This window comes from Homo sapiens, chromosome 4 (genome assembly GCF_000001405.40).
Source record: "Homo sapiens chromosome 4, GRCh38.p14 Primary Assembly".
Classification (NCBI taxonomy): Eukaryota; Metazoa; Chordata; class Mammalia; order Primates; family Hominidae; genus Homo; species Homo sapiens.
The window spans coordinates 117,762,324-117,777,175 of record NC_000004.12 but is presented as its reverse complement, the minus strand read 5'-3'; the positions used below and the strand labels follow the sequence as shown (position 1 = coordinate 117,777,175).

Below are 14,852 nucleotides of genomic sequence, written 5' to 3'. Positions count from 1 at the left end.
TAAAAATATTATAGAAATTTACCAGTAGGATCTTAAAATTTGTGCCCTTGCTTACACTGGATAGAATATTCGTTATTATTATTTTAATTTCACAAATATTAAGGAAGAAAAACATCTCATTAATTTATTGATCTGATGTTTTTTGATTAACTAAGACAATACAGATTTGTCAGTTATAATTTTGACTTTTGTAAATTCCTTTTATATGCACCATTCCTGATGTATCCAATAGGATTTTTTGAGGGTTATGTAATTTATTTAAATTTTAAATTTTTATTTTTATGGGTACATAGTAGGTGTATATATTTATGGGGTACATGAAATATTTTCACATAGACATATAATATGTAATAATCACATCAGGGTAGGTGAGTATGCATCTCCTCAAGCATTTATCATTTCTTTATGTTACAGATATTTCAATTATATTGTTTCAGTTATTTTTAAAATATACAATAAATTATTGTTAACTGTAGTCACCCTGTTGTGCCATCAAATACTAAATCGTATTTATTCTATCTGACTGTATTTTTGTACCCATAAACCATCCCCCACCAACTATCCTTCATAGCCTCTAGAAACCATCATTCTACTCTCTCTCTCCATGAGTCAATTTCATTTAATCTTTAGCTACAACAAATAAATGAGAACATGTGAAGTTTGTCTTTCTGTGCCTGGCTTACTTCACTTAACATGATGTCCTCCACTTTCATTCACATTGCTGCAAATGACAAGATCTCATTATTTTTAATGGTGGAACAGTACGCCATTGTGTATATGTACCACATCTTTATCCATTCATTTGTTGATGGACACTTAAATTGCTTCCAAATCGTGGCTATTGTGAATAATGCTGCAATAAACATGGAAGTGCAGATATCTTTTTGATATACTAATTTTTTTTGGGGGGGGGGGTATATACCTAACAGTGGGATTGCTAGGTCATATGATAGCACCATTTTTAGTTTTTTGAGGAATCTCCATACTGTTCTCCATAGTGGCTGTACTAATTTACATTCCCACAAACAGTGTATGAGGGTTCCCATTTCTCCACATCCTTGCCAGCATTCATTATTGCTCATTTTTGGATAAAAACCATTTTAAGTGGGGTGGGATAATATTGTAGTTTTGATTCGTATTACTCTGATAATCATGATGTTGAGCACCTTCTCATAAACCTGTTGGCAATTCATATGTCTTCTTTTGAGAATAAATTTTTAAATCAGATTGTTAGATGTTTTTCCTATAGAGTTGTTTGAGCTCTTTATATATTCTGGTTATTAATCCTTTGTCAGCTGGGTAGTTTGCAAATATTTTCTTCAATTTGGTGGGTTGTCTCTCTCTTTACTTTATTGATTGTTTCCTTTGTTGTGCAGAAGTTTATCAGTTTGATGTAATTCCATTTGTCCATTTTTGCTTAGGTTGCCTGTGCTTGTAGAGTATTGCTCAGGAAACCTTTATCCAGAGCAGTGTCCTAGAGAGCTTTCTCAACATTTCCTTGTAGTAGTTTCATTGTTTGAGGTCTTAGATTTAAGTCTTTAATCAACTTTGATTTGATTTTTGCATGTGGTGAGAGATAAGGGTCTAGTTTCATTCTTCTTATAGATATCCAGTTTTCCCAGCACCACTTATTGAAGAGACTGTTCTTTTCCCAGTGTATGTTCTTGACACCTTTTTTGAAAATGAGTTCCCTGTAGATATGTGAATTTGTTTCTGAGTTCTCTATTCTATTACATTGGCCTATGTATCTATTGTTATGCCAGTACCATGCTTTTTTGGTTACAATAGCTCTATAATGTAATTTCAAGTGAGGTAATTTGATTCTTCCAGTTTTGCTCTTCTTACTGAGGATGGCTTTGGCTATTCTGGGTCTTTTGCCATTCCATATACATTTTAGAATTGTATGTTCTATTTCTGTGAAGAATGTCATTGGTATTTTGATCGGGGTTTTATTGATCTGTAGATTGCTTGGAGTAGTAAAAATATTTTAACAATATTGATTCTTTTGATCCACGAATGTGGAATATTTTTCCTTTTATTGTGTGTCCTTTTCAATTTCTTGTATCAATGTTTTACAGTTTTCATTGTAACCATGTTTTGGTTAAGTTTATTCCTGGGTATCTTATTTGCTTTTTAGCTATTTTAATTAGGATTACTTTCTTCATTTCTTTTTAGGTTGTTTGCTGTTGGCATATATAAATGTTACTGACTTTTGTATGTTCTAATAGTTTTTTTGTTGGAATCTAGGTTTTTCCAAATATAAGATCATATCATCTGAAAATAAGGATAATTTGACTTCTCCTTTGCAATTTGGATGCCCTTTATTTTTGTTGTTGTTGTCTGATTGCCCCAGCTAGGACTTCCAGTACTATGTTGTATAATAACGGTGAAAACTGACATCCTTGTCTTGTTCTTAAAGGAAAGACTTTCAGTTTTTCCCCATTGAGAATTATACTAGCTGTTAGTCTGTTGTATATGGCTTTTATTGTGTTCAGTTATGTTCTTTCTACACCCAGTTTTGTGAGGGTTTTTATCATAAAGGATGTTGGAATTTATGGAATGTTTTTTCAACATCAATTAAAATGATCATATGGGTTTACCCTTCATTCTGTTGATACGATGTATCACATTCATTGATTTGCATATGCTGGTTGGACCATCTGTGGGATATATCCCATTTGATCATAAGGATAATCTTTCTAACATGTTGTTGAATTTAGTTTGCTAGTATTCCTTTGAGGACATTTTCATCAATGTTCATCAGAGCTATTGTCCTGTAATTTTCTTCTTTTCACGTGTCTTTCTCTGGCTTTAGTAATAAGGTAATACTGGCCTCATAGAGTGAGTTTGGAAATATTGTTATCTTTCTCTAGATTTTGAAAGTTCTTTGCTATTATCTATTTTAATAAACTTGCTACCCCAATCTTTCTTTCTACCTCCTTTTTACGACAAGTAACTCTTAGATTTGCCATTTTGTGGCTATTTCCTAGATTTCGTGGGCATGCTTTATTTCTTTTCATTATTTTTTCTTTTGTCTCCTCTGACTATGTATTTTCAAATGGCCTGTCCTCAGTGCTTTCTTCCACTTTATCCATTGTGCTGTTGAGAGACTCTGATGCAGTCTTGAGTTTGTCAATTCAATGTTTCAGCTCCAGAAATTCTCCTTGATATTTTTTAATTATCTCAATCTTTTTGTTAAATTTATCTGATAGAATTCTGAATTCCTTCTCTATGTTATTTTTAATTTCATTGAGCTTCCTCAAAACAGCTATTTTAAAATTCTCTGTCTGAAAAATTACATATCTCTGTCACTCTGGGATTAGTCACTGGTGCCTTATTTAGTTTGTTTAGTGAGGTCACATTTTCCTGGGTAGTCTTGATGCTTGTGAATATTTGTCAATGTTTGGGTATTTATTGTAGTCTCACAGTCTGGATTGTTTGTACTCCTTCTTGGGAAGGCTTTCTAAGTATTCAAAGGGAATTTAGTGTTGTGATCTAAGTCCTTTGTCACTGCAGCCATATCTGCATTAGTGGTTACCCCAAGTCCAGTAACATTGTGATTCTTGCAGACTTGTAGAAGCAGTGTCTTGGTGGTCTTGGGAAAGATCCAAGAAAATGCCCTGGATTACCAGGCAGAAACTTTTTTCTCCCTTATTTCCCTCAAACAAACAGAGTCTGTCTCTCTGTGTGCTGAGCTGCCTCAAGCTGGGGGAGAGGTGACTCAAGTCCCTCTGTGGCCACCATAACTTAGACTGCACTGATTGAGAACTGAAGCCAGCACAACACTGGGTCTCACCCAAGGCCTGTGATGACCACTGACTGGCTCCCATTGGTGTTCTTTCAAGGCCCAAGAGTTTTTCAGGCAGCAGGTGGTAAATAGGCTTGTGTCCCTCCCTTCAAGTTGGCAAGCTCCCCACTAGCCCGGAGCTGTTCCAGAAATGCCATATGGGAGCCAGGCCCTAGAGTCAGGAAACATAAGAATCTACTCTGTGCTCTATTCTACTGTGGCTAAGCTGGCACTAAAGACACTTGACAAAGTTCTTCTTACTCTTCCCTCTTCTTTCTTCGTGTAGAAGGCCCACAGTGAGTACTGTCTGGCTACTGCTGATGTTCACTCAAGGACCAAGGCCTCTTCAGTCAGCTTGTGGTGAATGCTGCCAGGCTTCGGTCTCTTTCTTCAGGGCAATGTTTCTCTTCTACCTCGGAGCATGTCCAGAAGTGCCATCCAGGAGCCAAGGCCTAGAACTGGGAACTCTAGGATCCTGCTTGGTTCTCTACTCCACTGTGGCTGAGCTGGTGCCCAAGCTGCAAGACAAGTCCCCTTTACTCTTCCCTCTACTTTCCTCAAGCTGAGGAAGTCTCTGTCTGTGGCCACCACAGCTGAGAATGGGCTGGGTTACACCTGAAGCCAACATGGCTCTGGGTCTCACCCAAGAACTGTGTTGAATATGGCCTAGGTACTTCTGATGTTTACTTAAGGCCCAAAGCACTCTTTAGTCAGCAGGTGATGAATCCTGCCAGGACTGGATCCCTCCCTTCAAGGCAGCCGGTTCCCTTCTGGCCCAAGATGTGTCCAGAAAAGTCCAGGAGCTAGAACCCAGAATAAGGTCTCAGGACACCACCCAGTGCCCTGTTCTACTGTAGCTTAGCTGGTATCCAGATTGCAAGGCAATGTACTTTTTAAACTTCCTTTTCCTCTCCTCAAGTAGGAGTCTCTCCCAGAACTATGAGCTGTGCTGCCTGTGGTTGTGGGAGGGGTGATGCAAGCACTCCCTTGGCCACCCCAGCTGGTGTCTCGCTAGGTTGTGTGCACCCCAAATCCACTGGTTCTGAGCCCAGCACAGCAGCAGGACTAGCCCAGGAATTGCAATTCTCGTGGCTTATACTGCCTTTTGAATTTATTTCAAACCCCGGAGCACTTTAGCCCTTTGTGGTGAGTCTAGCTAGAACTCAGGTTCCAACTGCCGGGATGGAATGATTCCCCTTTGGCTAGGGCTGATCTAAGTGCTCCCTTTCTGGGTACTGGCTGAATTCTGCCCTCTGTTGTTTTCCAGTGTGAATTCTGCCCTCTGTTGTTTTCAGTTAGCACTGAATTTCAATGCAAGGTCCCTTAATGTCTGCACTCTCCCTCTTCCAAGGACACAGATTCTCCAGATTCTCTCTGTGTCATGAGGTTGCTGAAGGGGGATGAGGGAAGGTGATCTTGTCAATTCAAGACTGTTTTTCCTACCCTTTCAGTACCTCTTTCCTTGATATGATGTTAAAACCAGGTACTGTGATCTCTCAACCAATTTTTTGTTCTTATAAAGGTGCTTTCTTGTGTAGATAGTTGTTCAGTTTGCTTCTCCTGCAGGGGGAGCGATCGCTGGAAGACTCTGGCCATCTTGCTCCACGTCCCACAAATTTAGAAAAATTAATTATAAGACTTTAATATGAAATATATTATATTTTTAAATAAATATTATATGTTTATATAATGTATGTATTATCTTTATGTGCCCTGCATACATTATATAATCTCCCTCAGTTTGTCATCTACCTTTCAATGTAATGTTTTATTTTAGATACATAGTTTTAAAAATTTCTGCAATCATATCTACTGATTTTTTCTTTTTTATGTATTTGCATTTATTTTTAGAAAAGCTTCTCTCAGATTCAACATCAGATAAATATTAAACTAAGTTATTTTCCTGGTTTTTAATGTTCCCTCTTCCCCAACCCAATCATTTAGTTCTAGATTTTGCCAAACAAAGTTTTTTCTTTCATTTGGAAAAACATCATTACAGTTAAATTGATTTTTGGACCTTACTTTCTCTAACTGATAAGAATGAAAGACTATTTACAAATATTGAAGTAACATAAAATGATCTGTCTCATTTATTTTTTCCCACTGTCTCTCACTTACCAATTTTTAACATTTAATCTGGACACTGTATTTACATCATTTTGCTTAAAACTTTTTTATATCATTTCTCTTATTCTGGTAATAGATGTAGTTACTTTGCTGGGCTTTACAATTTTCTTACCAACTGAAATTCCTTTTTATCATGCTTTTACCTGTTAATTTTGGTTTTTGTCTTGGTTTGCTGGAATATATATAGCTAAAAGCCTTTAGTTACTGGTGAAGCAGGATATTTTCCTGACCCCTTCATGGGACTCACAACAAGGTTGCCTCATTAACTCAACCCACAGCTTTCAACTCCTTGTGGGAGGGAGTGCATCAGTGAACAAGGTGGGAACTGGAGTGCATGAGTGCTGGAACCAGCTGGTTGCCTTGGCACTGGCAGGGGTGAACTCTGCTCACTTGGACCTGCTGCGTTTCATCCCTTGTGGGAGGGAGCATGCAGGTGAGAGAGTGCAGGAGCTGGGGCAAGCACTTTTGGGTGCTGGCAGGAACGAACAGCACACAGGCCCCACAGAAGCATCAAGGGGGTGTCCCCACAACCCCTGAAGCCCCAGAGGGAGTGTTACCATGCTCTTTTAGCTCTAGCATCTATGATGGCTTAAGTGTTAACAGCTCAGTGGGCTCTCTGCATTTTTGGCAAAGGGTCAATGTGACAGCCTTTTGTATCCACACTCATGGCTCCCAAGCTCTTGTTCAATGTCCAGGAGAAATGAGGTCAGACGAATAAAGTGAAGGACAGTAAATGCAGGGGATTTTATTGCTAGTGAAAGTGGCTGTCAGCAGGAAGGGGAACTGAAAAGGAAAAGGGGCAGTAAGGTAATGTTCCCCTGAAGTCCAGCCATCTCCAGCCAGATTCTTTTCTGAAGTTACATCACCAAGCTGTCTGTCTGAAGTCAAGCTGCTTCTCTCCAACATCCAGTCATAGTCTCTAATGTCCAGCTGCTTTTCCCTACTCTGCCAGCTGAACCTGGGGTTTTTATGGGCACAGGATGGGGGGCAGGGTGGACCATGCATTGTTTTGAAAAAGGCAACATTGGAGCAGGAAAACACGGATATAAGTTCTCACTTTGTGCCATGGTCTCAGGCTTTGTGGCTTGAGGGTGGGACTTCACCAGGGACCTGCCCTTTTCTGCTTAGAATTTCTCTGCCTCCTGTCCCTATCAACAGTGGTCTGTATTTCCTTGTCTGAGATTATTTTCAGTCTTTGGGATACCACCTTTTCCATAACTCAGACCACTACAGAATCATAGGTTTTAGGGTGTATTTATTTCAGTGCATTTGTTTGCTATAAATGTAGTTCACATGTATTTACTAGGTAAGGATATGTTAGAATTTATTTTTTATAGTTTGCAATAGCATTTATTATGAAATAGAAATAATATGTTTTCACCCTGTTATTTAACCAGTTTTAATTTTGATAATTAACTGAATAGGGAAGAAGTATTTTAAAATTATGGCATATTCAGTGCAAACACAACAAATGATAAGGGATTCTTGAGTGAAAACATTGTACTGGAGTACATATAACTCCTTTTTATTTTATAGTATTTTTATAAGAACTAGACAAAGCTTTCTATTTTCTTTCTATTCCCTTTTCTTGTAATCACTGACATGTTCATTATCTATGTATTTACAGATTATGTTTAAATATGCATCCACATTTCCAAATTTTTCTGATCTTTGGGCGTGCTCTCCCTCCCCAGATTTTCCATCGACATTTTCACTTATATGTTGTGTTACTTCATAATCAACATTTAAAAACTGAATTTGTGGTCTTTCTTGGCAGATGCTGTCTTCTGACTACCCTAAATCTCTTAATGTACTGCCTACAATGACTTCCAGCATATTTATGAACAGGTTTGATTTGAATGTTTTGTCTGACCAGTGCAGAGTACTTCTCTTCCCACTGATGCATACACATTCCTTCCTAGGTTATATGTAAAAACTTACATGTGAGTAGAGTGTAGTATAGCTGATTTAATTAACAGCACAACAAACTTGTATTCCTCCCTACTTTTTGCTTCTAAAACAGTGTTTCCTCTTTTGAAATAAGAGTAACTAAGTTTTTTAATATTTATATTTCCTAGTATATGTCGAGTTCAAGGGTAGGGTCCATATTTATCTGGTTTACTATTGAGCATATAATGCAGCATCTTAAAATCACAGACACTTCCTATTCTTCTAAGAATGGCTTATGACTGTTTTTAAAATGCAATATACATTATAAAGCTAAATCTCAAACTCTTCACCTTATTCATCAATATTTCAATTAAAAAGTATGGATGTTTCCAAAATTTTTGCTTTGGAATACACCAATGATATTTACATAGCATCTTGACTTTTCTATTTTTATTAAGAGAGTTGTATAGTTTAAATATATTGTTAATGAATTCTACACAGATTCATGTAATATCTTTCCTGTGCACTCTACCAGTATTTTGAGTTTGGATTTTGTCATTAGTTGCTAAGCACGTGACTGAGTTTTGGACTCTTGAAATGGGTTACATGAGCCTGGCCCCAGGTCATCAAGGAACATCAGGCTTTCTGCCACAGTTTTCATATTGGCCAACCTTCTCTGGAAATTCATGGTTCTTAGGCAGGAGGATTGGCTGATCCCAGGAATTCGAGGCTGCATTGAGCTATGATCATGCTACTGCGCTCTAGAATTAGACCCTGTCTTTTAAAAACAATCATGACTCTTTTAGAAACTTTCAACAAATACCATTTAACATTTTGGAAAAGCTGAACTTTTGTGCAAATGTGACATGAAATGTATAGAAGCACCTTATTCACTGAAGGGCAGTGCAGGTTAGTAGCTAATAAGAAATCATATGACAGTAACAAGATGGTGCAATTTTTCACCTGAGTGATTTTTCTACCAGTCTAAATAGCAAATTATATTATTCTGTTTCATACAATGTATTTTTAATTTTCCGATTTAAAAGGAACTAACTAGCTTAGAATGAAACATAATAAAGCTTGTTATTTGTAAATAAAGGTGAACGTAATTGATCACAGTTTTAAATCTTGCTGAGCTATTTGTTAATTTATATAATTTATAGATACCCTGCCTTCATAAATTTCCTTGTAGATGTTTAGCAAAGAGCAATCTGACAAAATATAGTAAAATATGTGGTTTCAACTCACTAGAACTTTAATCCTCATATGTCTGAGTGAGTTATAGGATAGCAGAAAAATGAATATACGCATTATGTCACTAAGAAAAAATGCACACACTTCAGGTTTCTGAAGACAAGTTATAATTTATGGCAAAATATAAATGTGCTTTATAATAGTTTCTACCCTTTTGCATTACATAAGATACTTCAAAATCTTGGCGTCATATCTAAATATATTATTGTAATATTAAATTTATAAAAACTTTGAAACGTAGATAATTTCACTATCTCTACTTTTTATCAAAAATCAATCACTTTTATCACCAACTAATGAATGTGGCTTAAAGTCTACAAAGTTTTGGTTGAGTTATGTAGCTGCAGAATAATAAAGGAAACACATGCTAGAACCAAAGGACACTTTTATTTGATAATAAATGTTAACTTTTCACTTACCATTAGCATAAAAATAACCTTAAAAACCCTCAGGTTTAGTATATGTCATACTCCTCAGAACTTCATAAAAACTAATCCTTACTGTGTAGAATTCCAATATTTTCTTCTAGCATGACATATAAGGAATCCAGAAAAAAAAATGAAGATATTGGTACTGGATTAACTCATTATTATTTCCATTACCCCAGCACTTTAAACACCCACAAGCCTGGGGCATTACTATGAGTATTTCTCAAATCAAATAGTATAGAATAAAACTATATATGAACTAGTTTCAAAAAATTCAAATAACACTCAAGAATATATTAAGTATAAACTGTGCTATGGAGGCTAAATGACCTATATGACCGTCATTAAATATCTGACTTTGGGTAAGTGGCAAACTGAAGTATTTAGATAAAAAGAGTTAGTGCCAATATGTATGAACTTCATTTTAAGCACAGTAGGAATGAAGGTTCAGATGAACTAAATGTTTGATTTTATTAATTTTAATCCTTACAATAATCCTATAAGATATGAAGATGGTGAGTGTCAGAAACATTAGGAAAATTGCCTACAGCCACAGAGACAGTGATTGACAGGGCTGAGTTTTACCATGGGCCTGTTGTTCGTTAAAGCTAAAGCTGTTTCCACTGTGTGAACAGATATTAGAAAGAGTTCAGAAAAGAAAACGAATGATGTGAATCTGGTAAGCAGAGCAAACCTAATGGAATAAATAGGCTTTAAGTCTCTCTATCTAAGATTTAGAATAATTAGATATGGGAAAGGAAAGGAAAAGATACTGAGCTCTCCTGATTGAGGTAATGGTGTAAGCCACAAGACAAGCACGTAAGAGCTCTCTTCTAAATAATATCTCTTTAGCTAGCTTTTTATTTTATTTCTACATTCACTATTTCTGCACCTCATCACATCATATTGGAATGTTTGCGTGAGGCTACAAACTAAATAAAATACCTTTTGATATTACTTATTTTTCTAATACAGACATCAGATTAATCCTTAGAAGAAATTCATTCATTCAGTTACTATTTTTAAAGGAAAAACTTTAGACAAATGAAATTTAGAACAGTTTATTTGAGCAAAGAATGATTCACGAATTAGGCAGCACTCAGAACTGGGAGAGGTTTAGAGAGCTCCACCCAGCAATGTGGGCAGGCTGTATTCACAGACAGAAAAAGGAATTGAGGTAAAAACCAGCTTGATTCGTTACAACTTGTCATTTGCATTATTGGCATGGTATGATGAGGCATTTGCCTTATGTGTACATTGTCTGACCAGTTTGCAGCCTATGATTGGCTGAAGCTTGGCTTCCACAATTGGCTGAGACTCAGCAGTTCGTTACAAAAATATATTCTTGTTAGGTTGCAATTTGTTTACTTAGTAAATTAGGTTGTAGTTCATGATACAGAAATTCAAAGTACAAAAGCAGCTATAGGCTGCTTTAACAAGTCACTGTTTTGGTGTCCTCTCAATTTTGAAAGATTGACCAAAACCTTGGGCATTGATTCCCTTCTCTGTCACCGTCAGAATGGACTTGTTTGGTCTCATTATGGAATTCACTATTTATGACATCAGGCTAGCTGAATGATGTTTTATGTCCCTTTTGTGTTGTCATTGTTCTAACTTTAGTGAGACCATTTGACATACAGTGGATGGCTGCATCCAGAGCATCTGAGACTCTTGAGGGACTACAGTGCACCAAGGAATCCATTATGACAGCTATAAAGAGGATAATACTAAGAAACTAAAGTATATAAACTTTACAAATTGAAACAATCAAAATCAAAATCAGATATATAAAAATCAAATATATAAAAAATGAGACAAAAGCAAAATCTCCTTGTTTTAACCAAGTAGCTTTTTTGTTGATTTCCTGAAACTGAGTTTCTGTCATACCAGATTTATTTATCTAAGTGTTGCAGGAGGTGTTAGCTATTGCACATACCCCTAGTTCAGCCAACAAATAGTGCAATACAGTCATGTTATCTAAAATAACTTTAGCAAGATAATTTAAAGAAGTTTTCTGGGCAACTGTAGAATCAACTATAGTGGCTAATGTTTGAGACAAATTTTGATTCCTAACTTTATTTACGTGTATGCCAAGTCAAGTAAGAAGCATTCTACAAAAAGATGCCAATTTGGTGGGATTTACATTTGCTGGCAAATTTCTCTTTATTCTGTGGTGCAAATTAAAAGGTGTACAATGTTCAGCTTCTAACTGGTTATAGATTGACAGTGATACTGTTAGAATCTCTAAAACACAGTGGTCCCTTATTTTTCACTGTTATAGTACCTTATTTTTCATTGTTATGCTCTCTATGTAAATATATATTTTAGAGAGGCACCACAGACAGTTCCCTGTGGGATGCCTCATGCATTAGGACTAACTAGTAGGGAAGCACTAGTAATATTTATCCTAGGCTCCATTACTGAATTATTGCATAATTGGAGGCTATCAACATTTAGGGGATTAGGGTTATAAATTTGTCTACAAAAGGTCAAAATACATTTATTTTGGTTTTTAAATTTAATTTCTGGTATAATATTACTGCAAAACCCATACTATAGGTTTTGCTTTCTGTTATATTTTAACAAGGAATCTGGATACCTAAATCTAAAAGCCTAACCCTGTAGAAAAGAATAGATACTGCAGTTGGGATATTAGTAAAATTTGTTAAAGGGTAAAGCAGACAGTTTTTAAGATCATGTAAGGATTTAGGTTTGACATAACATATCCAACATTAGGTTCCCTGCTTCTGAGGAAAAACCTCCCTGCCTAGTTTTACTTTTGAGGTCTCCAATGGCTGTGTAGTCGCAAGAGTCTGGAGGGAGAGACGTGGACCCAAGACTCAAGGCCCTGTATTATTGCTGCCATATGATTGTTAAGAACTCGGTATGCTTAGGATTGGTTTGGATGAGCCGCAGGCATAACACTGCCTAACTTCAAATTATACTATAAGGCTATAGTAACCAGAACAACATGGTACTGGTACAAAACAAACACATAGATCAATGGAACAGAATAGAAAACACAGAAATAAAGCCACATACTTACAGTCATCTGATGTTCAACATGGCTGACAAAAACAAACAGTGGGGAAAGCATTCCCTAAACAATAAATGATGCTGGGATAATGAGCTAGCCATATGCAGAAAAATAAAACTAGATATTTACCTTTCAGCACATACAAAAATTAATTCAAGATAGATTGAGGATTTAAATACAAGACCTCAAACTGTAAAAATCCTAGAAGAAAACCAAACTTAGGGAGTACCCGTCTTGACATTGGCCTTGGTGAAGAATTTTTGGCCAAGTCCCCAAAAGCAAATGCAACAAAAACAAACATTGACAAATGGGTTCTAATTAAATGAAAGAGCTTCTGCACAGCAAAAGAAATTACCAACAGGATTAACAGACAACCTACATAACAGGAGAAAATAGTCACAACTTTGCATCCAACCAAGTTCTAATATCATCCAGAATCTATAAGGAACTTAAATCAGTGAGCAAAAAACACAAATAACACCATTACAAAGTGGGCAAAAGACATGAGTAGACACTTTTCAAAAGAAGACATACAAGGAGCCAATAAACATGAAAAAAATGCTCATCATCACCAATCATCACAAAATGCAAATCAAAACCACAATAAAATACCATCTCATAGCAGTCAGAATGGCTATTACTAAAAAGGTAAAAATCAACTGATGCTGGTGAGGCTGCAGAATAAAGAGAATGCTTATACACTGTTTGTGGGAATATAAATTAGTTCAGACACTGTGGAAAGCAGTCTGGAGATTTCTCAAAGAACTTAAAGCAGCTACCACTTGACTCAGTAATCCTACTACTGGGTATATACCCAAAGGAATACAGATATGTTCATTGTCGTGATATTCACAATAGTAAATAAATGGAAGCAAATAGGTGCCCATTGATGATGAATTGGATAAAGGAAATGTGACACATATACCCTATGACATACTATACACTCATAAAAAAGAATGAAATCATGTTTTTCACAAAAACGTGGATGGAGTTGGAGACCATAATCCTAAGCAAATTAATGTAGGAACGAAAACCAAATACTGCATGTTCTCATTTACAAGCGGGAGCAAAATACTGAGCACACATGCACATAAACATAGGAACAGTAGACACTGCAGACTACTAGAAGGAGGAGGCACAGAGTGTGCATGGTTGAAAAACTACTTATTGGGTACTATGCTCACTACCTGGATCCAATATACCCATGTGACAATTCTACATTTGTACCCCTGTATCTAAAATAAAAGCTGAAATTTAAAAAGTAAAAGAACTTGATATGATTCCTTACGATGCAGTTCAATGGTGGTTTTTCTCTGGTGTCATATCCGTATGATATAATCTTCAGGTTCTAGATTGTGAAAGGTGTGGTTGTCATCAGTTGGCAGGCCATTTAAAGGCTTATTTTATGTGGTGAAAAATACACTTAGGCATAATGCATTCAAGCCTTGCAATGCTGAATCTTGTCAGAGTTTCTAAGAGCAGGAGATACACATGATTTTATTATTAGGGGTTTAGGCCTTTCAGTAATTATTTCATTAGGGGTCAATGTATGTTTTCTAGTAAGAATAGATCTAATTATCATCAGTCTGCTAATACCTTTGACAAAGACAGTACAGTTGATTCAATTAGCTTTGCTTATTGCCATTGTATTTGTAATACCTTGTCTAACTGCAGTGAAATGAATACCTCTATCACTGAAGATTTCTCCAGCAATGTCCCATAAAGGAAACACATTTTGCAAAAATCTCTTAGTTACTATCATAGAATCAGCCTTTCTTCATGGGAAAGTTTCTATACAACCAGAAAACATACACTGAAAGTAGCACTTTCATGAAATCTGTTGGTAAGTATTTAAATGGTACTTCAAGTGCTAGAAATTAATCACCTGAGTTTTTTACTGTCTTATGAAATATGAATTTGACAAATCAAATATTGGTTATAAACCATTTTCATAATGTTAGAACAATTACCAAACCAATTTTTAATTTTCAAAATATCATTAGATCTATTATATGATGAGTCATAGAGTAGATCTAATGGAATAATGGAAGCTTTAAAGACTCTGGAAGCACTTTAAAGACTCTAGAAGGCAGTTGTCTAGGGTTTTCATGAGATCATACTTAGCATTAGATTTAGATCTTCATAAACATCACCTTTGTTTCTCCAATTCAGGTATACAGCATTGTTTCTTAAATAGGTTATCATAGGTAATTTGACTTGGATCAAACTTATGAGGTTCATTCAAATTGCATATTTTAATAATTGCAATATTTTAATAATAAAGCCACACACTTACAGCCTAGCATGAAAATCTACCAAATTTAATTTA

At 36.0% G+C, this 14,852-nt stretch overlaps 1 annotated feature.

The window, feature by feature from the left end:
* Positions 3,816–4,316: an enhancer, noted in NCBI's record as "H3K27ac hESC enhancer chr4:118694015-118694515 (GRCh37/hg19 assembly coordinates)". NCBI's record gives its function as "activates a minimal SCP1, AML or CMV promoter by ChIP-STARR-seq in primed H9 embryonic stem cells {active_cell/tissue: H9 hESC(primed)}" and the evidence as "EXISTENCE:reporter gene assay evidence [ECO:0000049][PMID:30033119]".